This window comes from Homo sapiens, chromosome 2 (assembly GCF_000001405.40).
Source record: "Homo sapiens chromosome 2, GRCh38.p14 Primary Assembly".
Taxonomy (NCBI): domain Eukaryota; kingdom Metazoa; phylum Chordata; class Mammalia; order Primates; family Hominidae; genus Homo; species Homo sapiens.
The window spans coordinates 201,259,952-201,281,624 of record NC_000002.12 but is presented as its reverse complement, the minus strand read 5'-3'; the positions used below and the strand labels follow the sequence as shown (position 1 = coordinate 201,281,624).

General features: G+C 42.0%; 1 protein-coding gene across 69 annotated transcripts in view; it reads right to left on the bottom strand.

The window, feature by feature from the left end:
- The window catches only part of CASP8 (caspase 8), a 54,249-nt gene that overhangs the window by 6,087 nt on the left and 26,489 nt on the right, over positions 1–21,673 (bottom strand). For 4 of the 69 annotated variants that reach the window (NR_174588.1, NR_174583.1, NR_111983.2 and 1 more), the window contains 6 exons: positions 14,834–15,164; positions 10,004–10,109; positions 8,849–8,987; positions 8,683–8,727; positions 6,672–6,736; positions 4,521–4,798 (listed from right to left, as the gene is read on the bottom strand). Coding sequence is in view for 45 of the 69 variants with exons in the window: in NM_001228.5 (NP_001219.2) it covers positions 4,657–4,798; positions 6,672–6,736; positions 8,849–8,987; positions 10,004–10,109; positions 12,020–12,115; positions 14,834–15,138 (853 nt within the window). In the remaining 24 variants the exon portion in view is untranslated. Of the gene's footprint in view, positions 1–4,082; positions 4,799–5,988; positions 6,103–6,671; positions 6,737–8,424; positions 8,523–8,682; positions 8,728–8,848; positions 8,988–10,003; positions 10,110–12,019; positions 12,116–14,833; positions 15,165–21,011; positions 21,090–21,673 lie in introns of those variants that run through there. The other 65 variants (NM_001400651.1, NM_001400648.1, NM_001080125.2 and 62 more) reach the window with 47 other exon arrangements.

Below are 21,673 nucleotides of genomic sequence, written 5' to 3'. Positions count from 1 at the left end.
TATAGCAAAATAAAAGATATGAATTAATAAGATAGAACTAGAAGACCTTATACAAAAGGTTATCCCCTCTCTATCCCTCCCCATTACCTAGTCACATTCCATGAAGGCAACCACTTTCAGTTTTTAACCACTTTTTTCCACATTGAGCTCCATTTTGTAATGAATTTGGGTACACTGCTAATTACTCATTTATAAATTTTAGACTTTCGCATTGAGTTCTTATTATGGAGAATAAGCATTTGGGCTCTTACTCAATTATTTACAAGTTTTGGTTGAATCCATAGTAATATTTTTATTTTTTTAATTTTTTTTAGAAAAGGTCTCACTCTGTCACCCAGGCTACAGTGCAGTGTCACAATCTCAGCTCACTGCAACTTCTGCCCCCCAAGTTCAAGCAATTCTCCTGCCTCAGCCTCCCAAGCAGGTGGGACTACAGGCACGCACCACCACACCCAGCTAATTTTTGTATTTTTAGTAGAGACAGGGTTTCGCCATGTTAGCCAGGTTGGTCACAAACTCCCAGCCTCAAGTGACCCACCCACCTTGGCCTCCCAAAGTGCTGGGATTGTAGGCATGAGCCACCACCTCCGGCCCATAGTAATATTTCTATTATTAAGACTATGTAAACATAATGTTCTTTCATTATGTTTCCTTTCTTATTAACCTTTTTGCCTTTCCTGGAACTTGTAATTGTATTATTTTTTCATCTGCTTTGTTTCCTATATGCTTAACACTGTTTTTTCTCCAAGTGCTCAATGGATCTGGCCAAAATCTTTCAACATTTTCAGGCTACTTGTCTGACTCATTTTTATTTCTTCCTGGAAAACTTTCCATCCAGAGCACTGCATCCTTCTGCTGTAATACCAACTGGCTGTTCCATAGGCCAGATGAATTTCTCTTCTCCTGGGACATCTCTCTGTCTCTTCCATAGTAGGTTCCCTGTTTCCTCCATCTATGACTTCCTCTTTCTTATCAGTTTCCTTTGCTGGAGCATAACCATGAGAAGTACATTTTTTGAGCCCCTGTATGAGTCTTTAGTTTATAGAGTTCTATTTCCAAAAGCATTTTTCCTCAGAATTCTGAAGGCCTTTCTTCACAGTCTTTTAGCTTTCAGTGTTGCTAGAGAGAAGACTTTCCATTTCTGATACTTTACATATTTGGCTTACTTTTTTCTCTTTCCAGAAGCTTCTAGGGTATGATATGTTTGGAAGTGAATCTTAATCCATTATACCCTTTCAATCTGGAGATTGCGTCATTTCGTTCTTGGAAAGTTCCATTTCCCCTTTCTCTGTCCTTTCTTTCTGGAACTCTTATTGTCAAAAATTGGACATCCTTGATTTAGCTTCAAATTTTCTTATCTTTCACTCCTATTTTCTATTTTTGTCTTTTTATCCTACTTCCTTAGACTTTATCTTCTACTTTATTGAATTTTTCATTTTGGTGCTCAAATTTTTAATTTTCAAGGAGACTTGCTTGTTCTGTCCCTTTTTCATAACATCTTGTTCTTTCATGGACCTTTAACTAACTCTCTAAGAATACTAAATACCAATATTAAGCATTAAAAAAGGTTGCTTTTTTCTCAACATTATCTTTTTTTCATTCATATTCTGTTTCATGTTTTTCTTGTTGTTTGCATTGCCTCTCATTTATCTAGTAATTTATTTATTTATTTGAGATGGAGTCTTGCTCTGTCACCCAGGCTGGAGTGCAGTGGTACGATCTCAGCTCACTGCAACTTCCACCTCCCAGGTTCAAGTGATTCTTCTGCCTCAGCCTCTGTAGTAGCTGGGGTTACAGGCACCTGCCACCATGCCTGGCTAATTTTTGTATTTTTAGTAGAGATGGGGTTTCACCATGTTGGTCAGGCTGGGCTTGAACTCCTGACCTCAGGCGATTCGCCTGCCTCGGCCTCCCAAAGTGCTGGATTTTCACGCCACCGTACCAAGCTACCTCTCTTTCGTATTAGAGCCTTTCTTCAAATGCCTGCTGACCTTTGGTTGTCCATTCATAAATTGACTAATTAGTCCATTAAAAAGTCGACTGAAAGCTCTGTGTTTGTGGATGTGGCTTGTTCTCTGAGGGATTTCATAGCAAGATGATTGGTTGGGGACCTGATCATTTCATTAGGAAACCTCCAGATGTCATTATCTGTATGTATTTTAGCTAGAGCTTTCAGCTTCTCCAGAGGTAAGTCTGTATCTGCTGCCAGTGTCTTGGAACCAAGTTGGTTTAGAGATCTGACTCCATGCCACCAGCAGGTTTTCTTCAGTCTCTCTGTGTTCAGTAAAATGCTTCATTGCTTCCTTTGCTGGGCCTGGCACACCGAAGTGTAGAGCCTCTCTGGTTCAATTTTATGAGAAAACAAACTTCCTGTTCCTTATGATGGTAGAATAAGAATAGTTGCTGGCTCTATGAGAGGAAGGTATGAATCAGAGGATTGTATAGGCTTATATAGGCTTTCAAAGAATCTTCCTGTTTTCTGCTCATTGCCTCACCTACACTTTGTACTTCCAATTGCTGAATTTTTCCAGGATTCTGTGGGGGTAAATAGGCTTGCCTCCTTTCCGTGTTCCCCTCTGTAATCAGTGAGGTTGTAGCTTTCTCTGTTAAGTCAATTACCTCGACTCTTTTTTTTCAACTCCCCCAAATTGTTGGAAACCTTTCATTAGCTATTGTCTCCTTTCCTGTTCTCTTGATCCTTGTTGGATTATTCCTTTTTTATTCCTTCTCCAGCATTTTGTCCCTGTCAGCACATCAGAGCTAAACATAAGTCATCAGTCAAAAGGCAGTCTCAGCCAGGTGCAGTGGCTCACACCTGTAATCCCAGCACTTTGGTAGGCCGAGGCGAGTGGATCACCTGAGGTCAGGAGTTCAAGAACAGCCTGACCAACATGGTGAAACCCCATCTCTACTAAATACAATTAACTGGGTATGGTGGCACATGCCTGTAATCCCAGCTACTTGGGAGGCTGAGGCAGGAGAATCACTTGAACCTGGGAGGCAGAGGTTGCGGTGAGCCAAGATCATGTTATTGCACTGCAGCCTGGGCAACAGAGTGAGACTCTGCCTCAAAAAAAAAAAAAAGAAAAAATACAGTCTAGCATTAGGAATAGAAAAAAATAACTGAAATGCAATAGGCCCTTGTTGATTTGGAAGCACTTTGGCAAGACTAATACAGTGTGTTGGTTCTGTGAAAAAAATTCTGATCCTTTGGAAATGTGGAATGTTGATTAAAAAAATGACTGTAAAGCAAGTCTGAAGGCACTGAAGCAGGACAGAAGGGAGTCTCTCAGGAGAAATGACTTCTGCAGCTGGGTCTCCTACTTTTACTCATTCAGCATAAAACATAAGAACAGGAACAGAAAAAGCAGGACACACAGACTCGAATGCCTACCAGAGACTAGTCAATCATGGGCCAGTTATAAGAAAATGAGCTGCCAGAAATAGAAGCAAATGTTATTTTAATAGAAATGTTTTAATTTTAAAAGAATACAAATCAAGGGTCCAAAATATTTTTTTCAATACCAAGCGCATAGTGACGAATGATGTAATCAATGGACTTAATCTCTGTGCCTTTTTAAAGGCTTAGATTTGCTTAAATAAACAAATCAAATGTTAGCAGGGACCAGGTACAGGTGGCTGACACCTGTAATTCCAGCACTTTGGGAGGCCGAGGCAGGCGGATCACTTGAGGTCAGGAGTTCAAGACCAGCCTGGCCAATATGGCAAAACCCCATCTCTACTAAAAATACAAAAATTAGCCATGTGTGGTGGTGTGTGCCTGTAGTCCCAGCTACTTGGGAGGCTGAGGCAGGAGAATCACTTGAACCAGGGAGGTGGAGGCTGCAGTGAGCTGAGATCACACCACTGCACTCCAGCCTGGGCAACAGAGTGAGACTTTGTCTCAAAAAAAAAAAAAAAATGTTAATAGGGGCCATTACAGACTCCTGATGATTATAATCAGTCTACATTAATTTTCTAAACTTACCTCCATTTGCAAAACAAATCAATAATTGATGTTATGCCTGATAAACACTATTTCCAAAAGTTCTTTGATCAAATCAAAATTATTAATCTCTCAATGGTGATGGATGATTTTTATTTTTTGTTGTTGTAGTCACTTTTTATATTCACATACTACAAATTGTTTTTTCATTTAACTTGTAAGTTCTTGATCTTAGCTTAATTTGGCTGAGCAAAAGAATTGCTAACCAGTTTAATATTTAATACTTGAAAATGCTATTTCTGTTAAGAACCCACAATTTCTGCTGCACTTAACAGCCCAACCTGTAAAAATGCAGCCTCTATAAGAACTTTGATACCACAGCAATTTCATCGCCTAATACATTCCACAGAAGCGCTATGCATTTAGCTGAATTCAAAACAAAGCTTATTACTGCTTTTCATTATGTCTTTTAGTAAGATTTGATATTTTATATTTATACATACATTACTTTTATTTAAAAAATTAATTTTTAAAAAAAGCAGGAAACTGATAAATGTATAAGAATGTTCTTTACCTCCACAGGGAAATATGTTTAAATCCATTTTCTTGAAACATGGCCCTTTTGGTATAGCTTTTGTTCTCTCCCTTTTGATTTAAAAAAAAATAGGCATAAGAAATATTTTACTTTTCTCTTTTGGGTTCTACTGTACCTGCATCCAAGTGTGTTCCATTCCTGTCCCTAATGCTGTGAAGTTTGGGCACTTTCTCCCGTGCTTTTGCAAAATTGTGATTGTTGATGATCAGACAGTATCCCCGAGGTTTGCTTTTCATTTGGTAAACTTTGTCCAAAGTCTGGAAAACAAAAACCCAACCCAGGAGCTGACTCTGTGGGTCAAACACTAGAGATGTAAACAAACAACTCCCTAGTAAGAGGACTTGCTTTCCATTGCACCACCCCAACTCGGGGTCGTTTCCTCGAAGAACTAGTTTCTACCTATTTCCTTCACACAGGACCTCTCAGACTTCTGCCCCATCGTTGTAAAGTCAGTGTCCCAATACCTGGGCCTCCTGAGCACTTTGCACATATATTAATATTGTTGTCATCACATTGTATTATTGTTTGTTCTCATTTCTGCTTCCCATACTATACAGAAGACTCCTTGAGGTTCATAACATCTGTGCCAGGGACTACGGTGTATTAACTTGTGAGAGCTCAATCAAGAGTCACTGAATGAATGAATGTCTTTGGCTGCCCCCACGCCATGACTTGTGATTCTCTTGGCTGTCTACTGAACTCATCTGTGCTTCGTGGCTAACAGCTGAGGGTCTCCCATTCATGCATTGCACAGTGTGGTCCCAGGATTTTAAAGGTGATGGCTTAACCCAGCTCTCAGGACCACGGTGGCTGCTGGGAAGAGATGGGCTGGTCAGGGAGGTCCTGGCTACACTGTAGGTTATGGTATCCAAACTGTAGTACCTGATAGTACTGGCCAGGGATGGCGCTGTGTCCTATTCATTCTCCTAGGGCTGTTTCAGTACCGAGAAACTCAGCATTTAGTTGGAGGTCTGCGTAGCCCCTTGAGGTGGAGAAAAGGACTCCAGGCTAGGAAGCCCAATTCCTGCCTCTACTTCACCTTATGACTTTGGGCAAATAACCTGTTATCTTAATATGTTAACTCTAAGATATTAAATATTTGATTAAGTTTGTACCAAGTATGTTAAGTTTTTATTATTTACAGTTGTGTTCTAAGTATTTATTAAGCATATTAAGTGTATTTACTGAGATACTAAGACACTAAGATTTGGCCAGGCACGGTGGCTAGTACCTATAATCCCAGACTTTGGGAGGCCAAGGCAGGAGGATTGCTTGAGGCCAGGAGTTCGAGACCTGGCTTGGCAACGTAGCAAGACCCCTGTCTCAATAAAACATTAAAAAAGGAAAAAGATACTAAGATTTACTAAGATATTAAGACAGTGTTTTTAGCTCTTCAGTGGGGACAATGCTTGTAGCATGCTATACTGTTTAGAAAGTACCACATTACTTGGGTTAATCCTTGACTTTCAGATGAAAGAGGTCTGGTAATTTTCTCAGGAGCCCACACTAGTGAATAATCTCTCTCAAGCCTACTTCAGATATTCAGGATTTCCTCTTCTTCCTACCATGAGGAGGAGCAGATCGTCTAATAAGTCAGGATGTATTTGGTGGATTGTTGATTACATAAAGAGAAGTTATTATGCCTAAAAATTACATGTTTCTGCTGGTTCACTGAGACAAAAACACAGAGATGGCTAGATTGTGAGAGTTTGCTGCTTACACCTCATCACCAAGGAGAAGCATTTTTGAAACATTAAGCTAAAGGAAAAGGCTTGGCTTTTTCCATTCCTGCTAGACTCTTTCTCCAAACCACTCCCCCATCCAGGCTGGCACGGCTGCTAGAAGATTTGGTAGGAGGCTTATTACCCCCTCCACCCTCCAACTATTCCAGTATCTTCATCTCGGGTCTTAAAATAAAATTCAAATGTATAGAAAACTGAAGGAGTCACATTTTAAAAATTAAGTCACATTTTTAACTTTTTTTGTGTGAATTTTTTCTACAGTTCTCAAAATTTTCAGTAAGTTTCTGCCCCTTGTCAGTTTATCTGGCAGCAAAAAAAAAAAAAAGCTAACAAATTAAATAACTAGAATCTGTAATGTAAAAAAAAGGATTTGGAGGTTTCCGTCTACCTGTGATTCACTATCCTGTTCTCTTGGAGAGTCCGAGATTGTCATTACCCCACACAACTCCTCCCCTGCAAACAACGAAGAGACACATCTAGAATGAGACATGGCAGGAAAGGTACACTGGTAATGAAATATGTAGCACATAGGACAACATAAGGTCTTTTTTAAGATGAAAATTCAAGCTGGGAACAGGGGCTCACGCCGGTAATCCCAGCACTTTGGGAGGCCAAGATGGGCAGATCACTTGAGGTCAGGAGTTCAAGACCAGCCTGGCCAACATGGTGAAACCCTGTCTCTACTAAAAGTACAAAAAAATTAGCCGGGCGTGGTGGTAGCCACCTGTAGTCCCAGCTACTCAGGAGGCTGAGGCAGGAGAATCACTTGAACTTGGGAGGTAGTGGTTGCAGTGAGCTGAGATCGCACTACTGCACTCCAGCCTGGGCAACAGAGTGAGACTCTGTCTCAAATAAATAAATGAAATAAAATGAAAATTCACAGACTGCCATGAATATAATCTCCTTTCAAGCCAGAGAGATTCTGCAAGCAGGGCAATTAACATGCTTCTGGAAACACAAGATCAAGTTGTCTCCTCGCCAAAGAGAAAAACATACCAAGAAATGCCATAATTTTATATTGCTCCACATGGCCAGGTTGAATTTTTGTGGTATTTGTGAGATACTCATTAATAAAGCCACTAGCTCAGGATGAATTAATGATTTAGTACTTTACTCCTTAAAGTATTCTTAAGGCCTTAGGCTCAGCAGGCAGAGGGGAAAGGGAAGGACAGCCTGCATAGACATTAATCTTTAAAATACATTTGAGTGATCCAAAATGTATTTTACACACACACACCACAAAGAGCCAACGTAAAAATACAATAAAAATATTCATAATATGAATGGAGTGATGGTGTTCTTGGACTTGTAAAAATTTCTCTGAATTTAAAATAATCTTCAATTAGTGTATATAATTTTTCTAATCAGAAAGAATACTTTATTAATTGCCTATAGTCCCAGCACTTTGGGAGGCCCAGGTAGGTGGATGGCTTGAGCTCAGGAGTTCAAGATCAGCCTGGGCAACATAGCGAAACCCCATCTCTACAAGACATACAAAAATTAGCCGGGCATGGTGGCTTGTGCCTGTGGTCCCAGCTACTCAGGGGGTTGAGGCAAGAGGATCATCTGAGTCCAGGAGGTCGAGGCTGTTGTGAGCCAAGATTGCATCACTGCATTCTAGCCTGGGGGACAAAGTGAGACACTGTCTCAAAAAAAAAAAAAGACTATTTGATTAATCAAAATTTTGAAGGAGATCGTTGAGAGCTCTCTCTCTTGGTTCAGCCTCGCTTATCAGGTAGAAAAAGTGAAAGGAAGTTGAAAGGAGTGACTTAGTGTAGAAGGTGTTGAAAGAGAAAGTGACTTAACCAAGAAAATTATGAAACATAATTTAAATCCAGCTACTCAGTGCATAACATGAGCAGCACGTCAAGGAGAAAAAAAAAGCCACATAGAAAAAATGATGTTAAATTACTTACTACTGACTAACTCTGCACCTATTTCAAACTTGCCAGCTTGGGCTACAGGTCTTAGGAGAGCAGGTGCGGCCGGGCGCAGTGGCTCATGCCTGTAATCCCAGCACTTTGGGAGGCCAAGGCAGGCAGACCACCTGAGGTCAGGAGTTTGAGACTAGCCAGGCCAATATAGTAAAACCCCATCTCTAATAAAAATACAAAATTAGCTAGGCGTGGTGGTGCACGCACCTGTAATCCCAGCTTCTCAGGAGGCTGAGGCAGGAGAATTGCTTGAACCTGGGAGGCGGAGATTGCAGTGAGCCGAGATGGTGCCACTGCTCTCCAGCCTGGGAAACAAAGTAAAACTGTCTCACAAAAAAAAAAAAAAAAAGAAAAAGTAGAGCAGGCACGTTAAGATGTGCATGTGGTAGAAGGCTGTGGGGAGGACACATGCAGGTACCAGATAGTAAATTAACTAAATCTTGAAAATGTATCTCCAAGCATTACCATTTGAAAATTCATCAGGACTTCCTTCAAGGCTGCTGCTTCTCTCTGAATTAAAAGGGGAAACCCCAAACAATATTTGATTAGAAACAACTGTGATATGGAGCGATTTGTCAGTTTCAATTTTAGAGTAGGTTTTGCCGATTCCCGGCTGTCAGGTTGTTTCTACCTTTGCTGAATTCTTCATAGTCGTTGATTATCTTCAGCAGGCTCTTGTTGATTTGGGCACAGACTCTTTTCAGGATGTCCAACTTTCCTTCTCCCAGGATGACCCTCTTCTCCATCTCTATGAAAATATCCAGCAGGTTCTAAGAGGAGGAGAAATAAAGTTGGGAATCTGGATTGAGCCCTACTGGTTTTTAGATTAGATTTTTTTTTTTAATTTCCAATTTCTCCAACCAAGGACCTGCCCTTGCTTCCCAAGTTTCTGACAGTTTCTGCTGGTCTCTCACAGCCAGCAGGCTACTAGGGAAGCGATTCCATGTTTTCTGGCCCAGAAAGACAGAAGTGAGAGGATAAAGGAGAAGCCATGTCAGATGTCACCCAGTCCCCAGGCCCTGTGCTCAAATCTCCTGCGAATGCATTACTTGGGGACTGTGAAACAACCTGAGACAGCAGCCCGGTCATCATGGTGACACCCTGGGGAACAGCCTCACCCCCAGCATTGCCTCTCCAGACCTGAGTACATACAGACACACAGACACACACACACAGACACCACATGCACATACACACACAGATACAACACACACAGAGTATACTCAGTGATACACACACAGGGGCATAAATACAATACACACTACACAACACACAGACACACATACCACACAGAGAACACACACACAGAGATACACAGACACACACACCACTTATACAGAGACACACAGAGATACACATATCACACACAAATACAGACACACACTATACACAGAGAAAGGCACACACAGACACGGAAATACACACACAACACACAGACACAATATACACACAGAGTTTCAGGTCCCAGGTTGTTTCGGGGACTGCAGAAGTGGAGGAAATATCTCAGACCCACCGCAGTCTTTCCCAGCTCTGCCGGGTCTGGGCTGCATCTGCACAGCCTCCTTCTCCCGGCCTCTGACTCTGCCTTGCTCCCAATAATTAACATGAGCAGCACTTCGGTCTAAAGGAATCACATCTGTAACACTCGTGCTGACAACTTTCTTCTTCTAGTTAAAAAGTGAGAATCCAGGTTGCTTTTACCAAAATACCCCTCTCTTTGGTCTCAGAAATGCCCCCTGGCTAACCAAGTCTCAGGACTAAATCTCAGTAAGATACCAGGTCTTACCATGTCATCATCCAGTTTGCATTTGGAGATTTCCTCTTGCAAAAGAAACTTAAAAGACCTCAATTCTGATCTGCTCACTTCTTCTGAAATCTGATAGAGCATGACCCTGTGGTGGGAAATGGAGACACTTTAGAAATCTTTTCCCAAATAATTTCCCATTTGATATATGGAGTCACAGTGGGCTTGATTCCAAAGGCCTCCCTTCAACATAAAGCCAGTTAATGGCATGGTTTATGAGTTGAGCCCTTGGAAAGAGGCTGGTGTGGTGACACAGAAGTCTACTGGCTCCTCCCCGACTTTCCCACCCTTAACAATTTAAAGTTCTATCAACTTTTCTTTCAGTTTATTTCAGTTGAGTAAATCTTGTTTTCCTTTTTTTTTTTCTGTAAAATGGAGATTTTGTTGCAATAGCAAAATGCTTTGCCTTTTGGAAATTATGCTTTTCAAAATGCACATTGGCTCATGACTTCCCTAATCAAAACTGGTCAGTATTCTCCCAGTCATTATCTTCAGTAAGACGGCCAAGCATTCGGTTCTGGAATACAAAGTCTCCGAATACATCCCTATCACAGACCAGACCGCAAACACGAAAGGACCTGAAGCCAAACACACCCAGCTGCCCTGCCCTCACCCCTTTCTGTGGTGCCGCTACACCCCATCCCCTTGTCTATCTGCAGAGGCCCATCCATGAACAATCAGCTCAAGCATTGCCTGAGCATCCTCAAAGCTGCATTCACTCCACTATGACTTAGTAACCCCAAAACGATAACACACATAATTGTCTGTTGGCCTGGTGCAGTGGTTCATGCCTCTAATTCCAGCGCATTAGGAGGCCAAGGCAGAAGGAGGATCACTTGAGCCCAGGGGTTTGAGACCAGCCTGGGCAACATAGCAAGACCCCATCTCTACCAAAAACATTTAAAAATTAGCCGGGTGTGGTGGCATGCACCTGTGGTCCCAGCTACTCCAGAAGCTGAGGTGAGAGGATCACTTGAGCCCAGAAGGTTGAGGCTGCAGTGAGCTGTGATCATGCCACCACACTAAAAATAAAAACAGAAAATAATTGTCTGTTTAGAAACTGTTCAAGTCCCCTAGTGGCCAGGTCCGTACCCTTTTTATTTTCATAAACCCAGAGGGTTGTGAGGTGCAATGATTGAGCTCAGCGGACCCAGGCTATTGGTGTTGGAGCCTTGGTTCCACTATCTTTGAGCAGTGTTAACTTTAGACATGTTACACATTTTTTCCTCGTCCATAGACTGAAGATAATTATCCGTAACCACATCATAGGAAGGTTTCGAGGGTTACACAAATAAGTTTATGTGAAGTACTTAAATCAGTCTTTGGCAACACACTAAGTGCTCAATGAGTGATAGGTGTTACTATTTCCTAATCTATGCCTATCACATTTATGTGATTGGCACATTTAGGCTCTTGGAATATGCTTGTCGAATAGGTGAACAAAGGAATGTTTTAGAAGTCAGCAAACCTTTCAATACTATGGTGTAAAGGAAAATAATTTTAATACAAAAACACGTTGACTTTAAAATTTAATTAGAAAAGTAAAATTCTGAAAATAAAAATGGCGTAGAAACAGAAATTACTCAGTATTACCATCTGCCTTATCCCCCTTCTCATGGACTCTCTACCCTAGAAGTGTTTATCTAAAGCTTTCAGTTTGGCCAAAATTGGATCTAATCCAAAGCTACTCTGACTCTTTCACCTTTATTACAAGGTATTTACCCTTTTGCTTTCCTCATTATTGAAGCCTATAGGCTTTCTTGTACCATCACCATTTAGTAATGAACCTGAATAGTTTATAAGATCTTTATTTTATAGGTAGCAATTATAACTGGAAAATAAAATGTCTAGTGTTTTCTTATAATGGTAAGTGGTCACCCTAGCATATTTATTAGCTTCTGGCTAGTATTCAATGATAATGAACAAGCAGTAAGTCAGGATTGCCCGGACCCTTTTATCTCTAAGCCAATACATTAAAGATTTTAAGAGAGATCCTGCCTTATTAATAGATGATCGACCCTCCGCCAGAAAGGTACAGACTGTGTCTGGCACTGGCTGTTTGCTTCAGCCCAGCTCATGCGGCAGAAGTGGAACCTTCAAAGGACCAAGATGGTGGGCACAAGATGAGACCCCCCTCGGCTTTCCTTGTTCTGGGGCTGTGGGTTTTTAGGACTAACTGGCGCCTTAATGAATAAGTGCCTTATAAAGACTTCACAATGCTAGTAAACCAAAGCTATCTAGTGTACTGGTTGAATAGTGTTCTCCCCTCTTCCCCAAAATTCATGTCTATCTGGAATATGAGAATGCGACCTTATGTGGACCCAGGACGTTTGCAGATAAAATCTCATTAAGATGAGGTCATGCTGGCCAGGCGCAGTGGCTCATGCCCGTAATCCCAGAACTTGGGAGGCTGAGGTGGGCAGATTGCATGAGCCCAGGAGTTCAAGACTAGCCTGGGCAACATTTTGAAACTCCATCTCTACAAAAAAATACAAAAATTAGCCAGACATGGTGGCGGGTGCCTGTAGTCCCAGCTACTTGGGAGGCTGAGGTGGGAGGATTGCTTGAACCCAGGAGGTGGAGGTTGCACTGAGCCGAGATCATGCCACTGCACTCCAGCTTGGGCGATGTAGTGAGACACTGTCTCACACACACACACACACACACACACACACACACACACACACACACACAAAGATGAGGCCATACTGGATTAGGTGGGCCCTAATTCCTAATCCAGTGACTGTCTCATAAGAGGGAGATTTAGACACAGAGAAGGGAACATAGGCAGAGACTGCTGTGCCTCATCTACAAGACAAGGAGCACTGAGGATTCCTCCACCCACCCGAAGCAGGGAAAGGCATGAAAAAGATTATTCCTCGGAGCCTCTTAAAAGGGAACCAACACTGTTGGCATCTTGACTTCTGACTCAGGCCTCCAGAACTGTGAAAACACATTTTAAAAACTGTTTTAAACCTGCTAGTTTGTGTTACTTTGTTACAGCAGCCCTAGGAAACTTATATACCCAGAATATCTCTTTCTTTTTTTTTTTGAGACAGAGTTTCACTCTTGTTGCCCAGGCTGGAGTGCAATGGCATAATCTCAGCTTACTGCAACCTCCACCTCCTGGGTTCAAGCAATTCTCCTGCCTCAGCCTCCCAAGTAGCTGGGATTACAGGCGTGAGCCGCCACACCCAGCTAATTTTTGTATTTTTAGTAGAGATGAGGTTTCACCATGTTGGCCAGGCTAGTCTTGAACTCCTGACCTCAGGTGATCAGCTCTCCTCAGCATCCCAAAGTGCTGGGATTACAGGCGTGAGCCACCTCACCCGGCCCAGAATATCTCTTTTTTCACTTAAAATCAAAATGGTCAAGCCTTGGCTGGGCATGGTGGCTCACACCTATAATCCCAGCACTTTGAGAGGTCAAGGCTGGTGGATAACTTAAGGTCAGGAGTTCGAGACCAGCCTGGCCAACATGGTGGAACTCCGTCCTACTAAAAATACAAAATTAGCTGGGCATGGTGGCACACACCTGTAATCCCAGCTACTCAGGAGGCTGAGGCAGAAGAATCACTTGAACCCTGGAGGTAGATGTTGCAGTGAGCCGAGATCATGCCACTGCACTCTAGCCTGGGTGATGAAGCGAGACTCCGTCTCAAAAACAAAACAAAACAAAACAAAAAATAGTCAAGCCTCAAAACAAAAAATAGTCTCTGAGAATAGAAAGACCAGAGCATTCATGGGCTGAGCCATCAGAGGACAGCAGCTGTCAGCCCTGGTTGTGAACCCTTTCCATCTCACATGCCATAGTTATCAACAAGCAAACAGAGACAATGAAATGGGCCCAGAACGAAGACTTCAGTAGAAGTTTCCTGAAAGCAAAGCTAAAATTGCTTTAAGTAGTGTCCGATAATAGGAGATGTTGAAAGAGAGAAAGTGACAATGTGTTTCTGTTTTTAAAGTCTTGTCACAGCATCATGAAGTTGTAACTGAATGGGGTTTCTCTCTCACACCTTTGGTTACCCACTCTCCCTAGGGTGGGGAGAAGCTGAGTTTTACAGCCTTTGGCAGGATGACCCAACGTGCCACTGTCTTCCTATAGAAGCTTAGAACTGTCATACAGCCGGGCTCACAGGAACTGGGCAGCCTCGGTGGAGACTGCCTAGCTGTATGTGCCAGGCCAGCGGCTTACAGCTCCGTAAAGAACTTAGTCATTCGAGTCTTTAAGTGTGGCAGAAAACCCTTAAATCTCATTGAAAATTTTCATAGCCATCCGCAAGCAGGTGGGAGGGGGATTTCAGGGTGGGAAGCCATGATGCTTTACTCAATGGATGGGCAAAGTAAGCACACAATCTGGATATCGAGAGGCATCAAGATAAGAGAGGAAAAAAATGAGAACACTTAGAAAAACTCTATTATAACTTCAGCATACCTCTAAGTAATGTTTCACTTTGAAAAATAAATTTTTATTTTATGGTCTTAGCATTTCTATAGAATTATATATAAGGCCCCTAAATTTCTTAATCTGGCTCCGGTGGGACATCTTCCCAAAGCCTCCCAAGTGATACTGAATGTGGTTTCTCTCTCACGCCTTTGTTTACCCACTCTCTCTAGGGTGGGGAGAAGCTAAGTTTTACAGCCTTTAGCAGGACCACCCAAGGCACTACTGTCTTTCTGTAGAAGCTTAGAATTGTGGCACTGCTGGGTTCCCAGGCACTAGGCAGGGTACCACAAAAAAAAGCCCCAATCAGCTCAGAGGCTGTCCATTCAACCCACACCTCCCAGTCCCACAATGGGAGTTTCCACCCACCTGTAGGCAGAAATTTGAGCCCTGCCTGGTGTCTGAAGTTCCCTTTCCATCTCCTCCTTTCTAGTGTTTAGGTAGGTAATCAGCAAATCCAGTCTATTAATTCGGAAGAGCAGCTCCTTCAGGAAGGACAGATTGCTTTCCTCCAACATTCTCTTTTCCTGGAGTCTCTGGAATAACATCAAGGCATCCTTGATGGGTTCTTGCTTCCTTTGCGGAATGTAGTCCAGGCTCAGGAACTTGAGGGAGGCCAGATCTTCACTGTCCAGTTGTTCCCCAATATCATAAAGATTTCTGCTGAAGTCCATCTTTTTAAAAGGCAGGAGAATATAATCTAAGTCAAAATAAATGGTATGTTCAGATAAGGAAGAAAAGTACCATTTGCTGGCTTGTTCATCAAAGGCTACTGCAACTACTAGGTACTGGTCATTGTGCTGTCAGCACAGGAGAGAAAAAAAGAACACCAGACAAGTTCCCTCTTACTGTTTAGGAAGGTAGACATACAAACAAGCCAATGGGCTGGGCGCGGTGGCTCACGCCTCTAATCCCAACACTTTGGGAGGCCAAGGCAGGCGGATCACGAGGTCAGGAGTTTGAGACCAGCCTGACTAACATGGTGAAACCCCGTCTCTACTAAAAGTGCAAAAATTAGCCAGGTGTGGAGGCACGTGCCTGTAATCCCAGCTACTCAGGAGGCTGGGGCAGGAGAATCGCTTGAACCCAGGAGGTGGAGGTTGCAGTGAGCGGAGATTGCACCACTGCACTCCAGCCTGGGTGACAGGGCAAGACTCCGTCTCACAAAAAAAAAAAAAACACAAAAAACAAAAAAAACAAGCCAATGGTTAGAGGGTTGTGACCAGAGTGTGGTAGGGATGTAGAGGAAGAAACCTTAACTTAGCCTGGGAGAAGGGCTTCCTATGGGGAAGGGATTTTGGGGAGAATGCGAGAAAGCACAATTCTTACAGGAAACAATTAATGTAAAAGATGGAGGTAAGAACTTTCAAGTCCATTCAGGCAGGCACAAGGAGCTCAATAAAGTAACTACAAAGTGTCTGGGATGGAGAGTGATGGGACAAAGGGATGAAGCTCTAGCCAGGTACCATGTCACAAAGGGGCCGCATTACCATGGGGCGAGGGGTTTAGGCTTTGTCCTGGAGGTGATGAGGAGCTAAGAAAGGACTGTAAAAATGAGAATGACATTATCCAACTTGGAATTAACATTCAAAGTGCAAAGGACAGACTGGAAGACTTAGAAGTAGGGGACGTACTAGGACCTATTAGGACCAACCTCCCATTCAACCCCACCATCAATCCCCAAAGTCCATTATATCCCTCTGTATGTCTTTGCATCCTCATAGCTTAGCTCCCACTTTTAAGTGAGAACATACGGTATTTAGTTTTCGTTTTTTTTTTTTCTTTTGAGACCCAGTCTTGCTCTGTCACCCAAGCTGGAGTGCAGTGTCGCGATCTCGGCTCACTGCAACCTCCGCCTCCCAGGTTCAAGCAATCCTCCTGCCTCGGCCTCCTAGTAGTTGGGATTACAGGGACACACCACCACACCCAGCTAATTACCTAGAATAATGGCCTCCAGCTCCAAGATTAAATATTTTTAAAGTGACCTAAAGATTTTGAGTTTTTAAGTGACCCAAAACTTTTAGTTTTCAAAGTCTTACTTTCAAAAATATCCTTTCCTTCCATTCCCTGAAAGAAAATTTTTAAAAATCTTTTCCCCCTCCTGATTACAGCAGCAGTGGTTTTTTTGTGTGGAAATGGAAACCACAGAGGCTCTGGGGACTCATCCCCTACTCCCACCCCACTGCGATCATGTTTGTTCCCTGCAGGGAGCTGGCCCCCAGCCCTACCGGCGTCACCCTCCTGATGACAAACTACCCTCTCACTAGAATGGAAGCTCTGTGAGGGCAGAAACTTTTGCTGGTTTATTTTTTATTCTTATTTTTATTTTTGAGACAGGGTCTCACTCTGTCACCCAGGCTGGAGTGCAGGGCGCAATCTTGGCTCATTGCAACCTCCACCTCCCAGGCTAGAGCCATCCTCCCACCTCAGCCTGCTGAGTAGCTGAGACTACAGGAGCAAACTACCACACCAGGCTATTACTGGCTACTGTCTCAGGCTGCTGGCATGATAATTGTCTGGGCTTTCCTGAATGAATAGTAATAGCTATCTTAGACATGTTCAGTGTAGAAATAATCAGGTCTATTGCAAGTTGGCCAGAATTTCCAATAGATACTGCTAGCACGTGTCAATCGTTGCTCTAGGCCCTGGGAATGCAGTAAAATAAACCAACGTGGCCCAGGAGTTCAGGTCTACCCTGGGCAAGACCCCAGGTGGCAAGACCCCAGGTAGCAAGACCCCAACTCTTAAAAAAAAAAAGCAAAACCAAAACCAAAACAAAACAAAAAAACAGGTGGGTAATTTAGCCATCTCTGTCAAAATATAAAATTCACATAAACTGGCCCACAATTTAACTTCCAAGAGTTTTTCCTACATTCACTTAAACAAGTATACTCAAAACCATATATAAGGCTATTCATGGTAGCATTCCTTGAAATAACGAAAGAGCAGAAACAACTGTTTATCAGCATTAGAAGATTTAGGCAAGCTATTAATCATATTCCAGGGAACTCTATTTGGCTACTAGAAAGAATAGGAAGATCAATGTGGTTGAGCCTGCGTGATCTACATAATGTATTGATCAGTACATATTTTGTGTATTCACAGAAGAGCTCTGACAAAAAATGCACAGGAAGTTCCTTCAGTAATGTTAAAGAAAAGCAGAATTACACACAGATGTGGGCGTGCAGTGTGAGAAGGCTGATGGGTGGAGGTGACAGTGAGAGCTGCTTTATTTCCCATACCTTGCTGCACAGTTTGTACTGTTTGAATTTTTACCATGTACATGTATGACTTATTCTAAAACATATACCTAGTTAAAATCTTTATTTAAAGATCCATTCTTATTCACATGCTGGAAAAGATCTAAACTAGATCTAACCCTGTTTAGTGCCATTAGGTCAACTGTCTTTACAATTTTTAATGCATTCTAACCTCTGTTAAAGTCTCATCTTACAGAATAAAACCAACCAAAGAATCAAATGAAAGCAGGACTTCCTTTCCCCCATCCCTCAATTATTTTTTTCTGAGGATAACAATGCTTAGTGTATTCATTTTAGACAATACAGAAAAGATAAAAAGGAAAATTAAAATTATGTATAATTCCACCATCCAAATATAAATGCCCAGTAATATTTTACTCTTTCCTACCAAATATTTTATGCATACACATTTTTCCTTATATTTGAACACATCATATTTCTGTAGTATAAGTGGATTTTTCCACTGGTAAGTACATCTTGTATTGTAAGTACTTTCCTGTCTTTAGTTTTTCTTCTACAGCATGGGTTTTAATATCTGTAAGGCACTTAATCTTAGAGATGGGCTATAATTTACATAGCCAGTTCCTGATTACATTTAGGATGACTTTAAAACGCAAATCTTTAAGAATACCTCTAATTATTTTCTTAGAATAATTTCCTAAAAGTAGTATTATGGTGTCAAAATGAATAAACCTTTTTGAGGCTCTTGTTACACATTCAATAGCATTTTCTGACAGTATATAATAAAAATCAATACAATCCAAGGCTGAGATGACATGAATTTGGATATAATAAGATTGGCGCATAGCTCCGTCCTCCATAGCCATCTCATCTCACTCATTTCATTACCTTTTCAACAACGTGACAATGCTTTTTAAGTGGTTTCCCCATCAAATCATAACTGACATTTAGAAGGGAAAATGCTAACGTGGCTTCTTCTCTGGCCTAGGTGTTCCAGGATACACTGTCAGATGATAGTCAGCCTTTTCTGTTTTTTGTTTTTTGCTTAAGTTACACATCCCTCTAGTCATAGTACCTAGAAAACAGTCACTTGCAAAGGATTTATGACACCATTAACAACGGGCCATCCAGCACTGTAAGGGGAGAGACATCGTGTGGCAGTTCTTGTTTTATGGGACCTAGATTTTCTGCACTAGCTTATGGGCTAGAAACTTTGTTAAGCTAGTATTTTTTAAACAATGTACTTGTATTTTTGGTTCCTAAAAACAGTAAAAGTAACACTTGTTTCATAGAGAAAGTACAGAGAAGTATAAAAAGAAAATAAAAATTACTTAAAAACTTGCCATTTGGAAGTAATTCTTTGGTCACATTTTGTGGCCTTTTCCCAATTTTTTTTCCACATGTATATATAACATATGTAAATTTGAATATGTTGCCATGTAATACATATATTTTATATAATCTCTGCTAAATAGTAAATGTATATAAGTCTATTTGTATTACATAAGTATATTTATTATTTTATATATTTATGCCCCAAAGTATTTAAATATAAATATGTGTTTATAATAATCATATAAATAAATGATATATAAATGTTTGTAATCTATATATCCATATAAACATAAAAATATTTTTTAACCTCATTTCACTAAAAGCCTCTGAAGAAACTACTATTACTGTCCCCATTTTTCTGTTGTGAAAAATCACGGCTTGGAAATAAGCTAGTAAGAGAGAGAGCCACAGCCAGATTTAAGTGTCTCACTCAAGGGCTTCAGTGACAGATCACAAAGATTTAGACGTCATTCTACTTGCAGCTGGAAGGCAGTGAAAGAATCTCATGAAGAAAAACATAAAATCATAACTTTTTTAGAGAACAACATTTCAAAAAATTTTATAATAACAAAGCCACAAAAACAGAAGTTCTTAACAAATCCACTATAGGAGAGGGGGTTAGAGCCTCACAAAGGAAGTGCTAGAATCTAGGCCCCAGCATCTCATTCCAGAGTCCCATTCTACCACTGTATTACATGTCACAATTAAACTGTAAATACATTCCATCTCATCACAATCATTCCAGTAATATTCTAGCAGCATCCTAGCTCTTGCAGTGATAACTAAAAAGCAAAACATGCATTTGCCATCGGAAGCAGAAACCTGCATCTCATCCGAAGCTTGAGAGAACCTGAAAGCCACTCGCTCTCAGGCCCAAACCCCTAACCGGCAGGTAGTATTGCCACTCCCTCCAATCCAGGCTGGCTGCCTCAGACTGCGGGCTGCCCCGGAACCTGACAGACATCCATTCTGCACGCACATGATGTCCATAACAGGGCGCTGCAGCCACGGCATTCAAACAACCCAGCAAAGGTGTCCAAACCTCAGCAAAACATATAATCCCATCATTTTCAAACAGAATGAAACTTGCAACTTCACCTGTAAATTCTTAACCCCACAAGTGCAGGTCTCTGATTGTGTCTATCTAGTCTTCCCATTATATTGTTTTTTGAACTGTTCTGTATCTTTTTAATTTTTTTTTTTTTTTTTTTTTGAGACGGAGTTTCGCTCTTGTTGCCCAGGCTGGAGTGCAGTGGCACGATCTCGGCTCACCACAACTTCCACCTCCCAGGTTCAAGCGATTCTCCTGCCTCAGCCTCCCGAGTAGCTGGGATTACAGGCATGCGCCATCATGCCCGGCTAATTTTGTATTTTTAGTAGAGACGGGGTTTCTTCATGTTGGTCAAGCTGGTCTCAAACTCCCGACCTCAGGTGAACCACCGCCTCGACCTCCCAAAGTGCTGGGATGACAGGCGAGAGCCACCACGCCCAGTCTTTTTTAATTTCTTTAAAAAATAAATAATTGAATTAGTAGGACCACATGGGTGTGTTTGTGTGTATGTGTGTGTGCGTTTATGTTGGCAAGTGTGTATGTTGGTGGGTATGTGTGTTGGTGGGAGGATAGCTGTAGCAGCAAAGTCAGTAGAGATTTAAATTTTGGCTTCTATTATTTCACAAGTTTGACTGGGATCAGGATGAGGCCTTTATACAAGTAGTTAAACTTGCAGCATTTCAGAAGCTCCTAGGACTTCATCAGTCTAAGCTAGAATGGCCTTCAGATCTGGAAACTGCACGGCCCTCGGCAAGGCTCTCAGAGGGACTGCTACCTCTTACACTAACTTCATGGTTTCCCCATCCACACTCACATACGAGGATCACCTCCATGGCCCCAGGGCCACCCGATCTCACTCTCAGCAGCCTAGAAAACTCCAGAATCAAAGGCCTTCCTCCCAAAAGGCCCCTCTGACCTTAACAAAGAGGCAAATCCTTACCTTACTCTCACGATGGTAGCACCTTCGTCACAGGCCTATCCACTACCATCTGAGCATCTAAGACAAGAGCAAACGTCTAATGAAGGACGGAAGGGCACAGCCAGCCAGCTCTACTTCCTGTTTCGAAACTCCTGAGTCACAAACACTAGAGGGGAAAGAGCGCTTACCACTTGCCCCTGAGTGAGCAGAGTGCCTTCTAAAGCTTCTAAAGCTGCAGGAAAAAGGCCTGGTGGTCCAGGAGACCGCACGCAGGGCACCTGGCCACCTGAGCACTGGCCCCTGGCTGTGACTTTGGATGGGCCATTTTACCTTTGGGGCCTCATTTCCACATTCCAAAACAAGGACGTTGGACTGGATTGTAACTAAGAACACTTTCATTTCATATTTAGGATTTAAAGATTTTTCTGGGTTCATCATTAAGACTTTAATTTTTTCATTCAATGAATCTTGATGGAGCACCTCAGAGAGGTCTTGAGATTGGACACTGCAGAGCCCTCTCATCTTGGTTCTCAGGGTGGCTGTGAACTTTCAGAGCTAAAGCCCCTGGTTTAGCCAAGGAGCATCTCTGTGGCCCCAAGGTCACCAGATTCCACCCTCAGCAGCCTAAAATACTCTAAAATTAAAAAAAAAAAAAAACTCTAAAAAGAAAAAACTCTAAAATG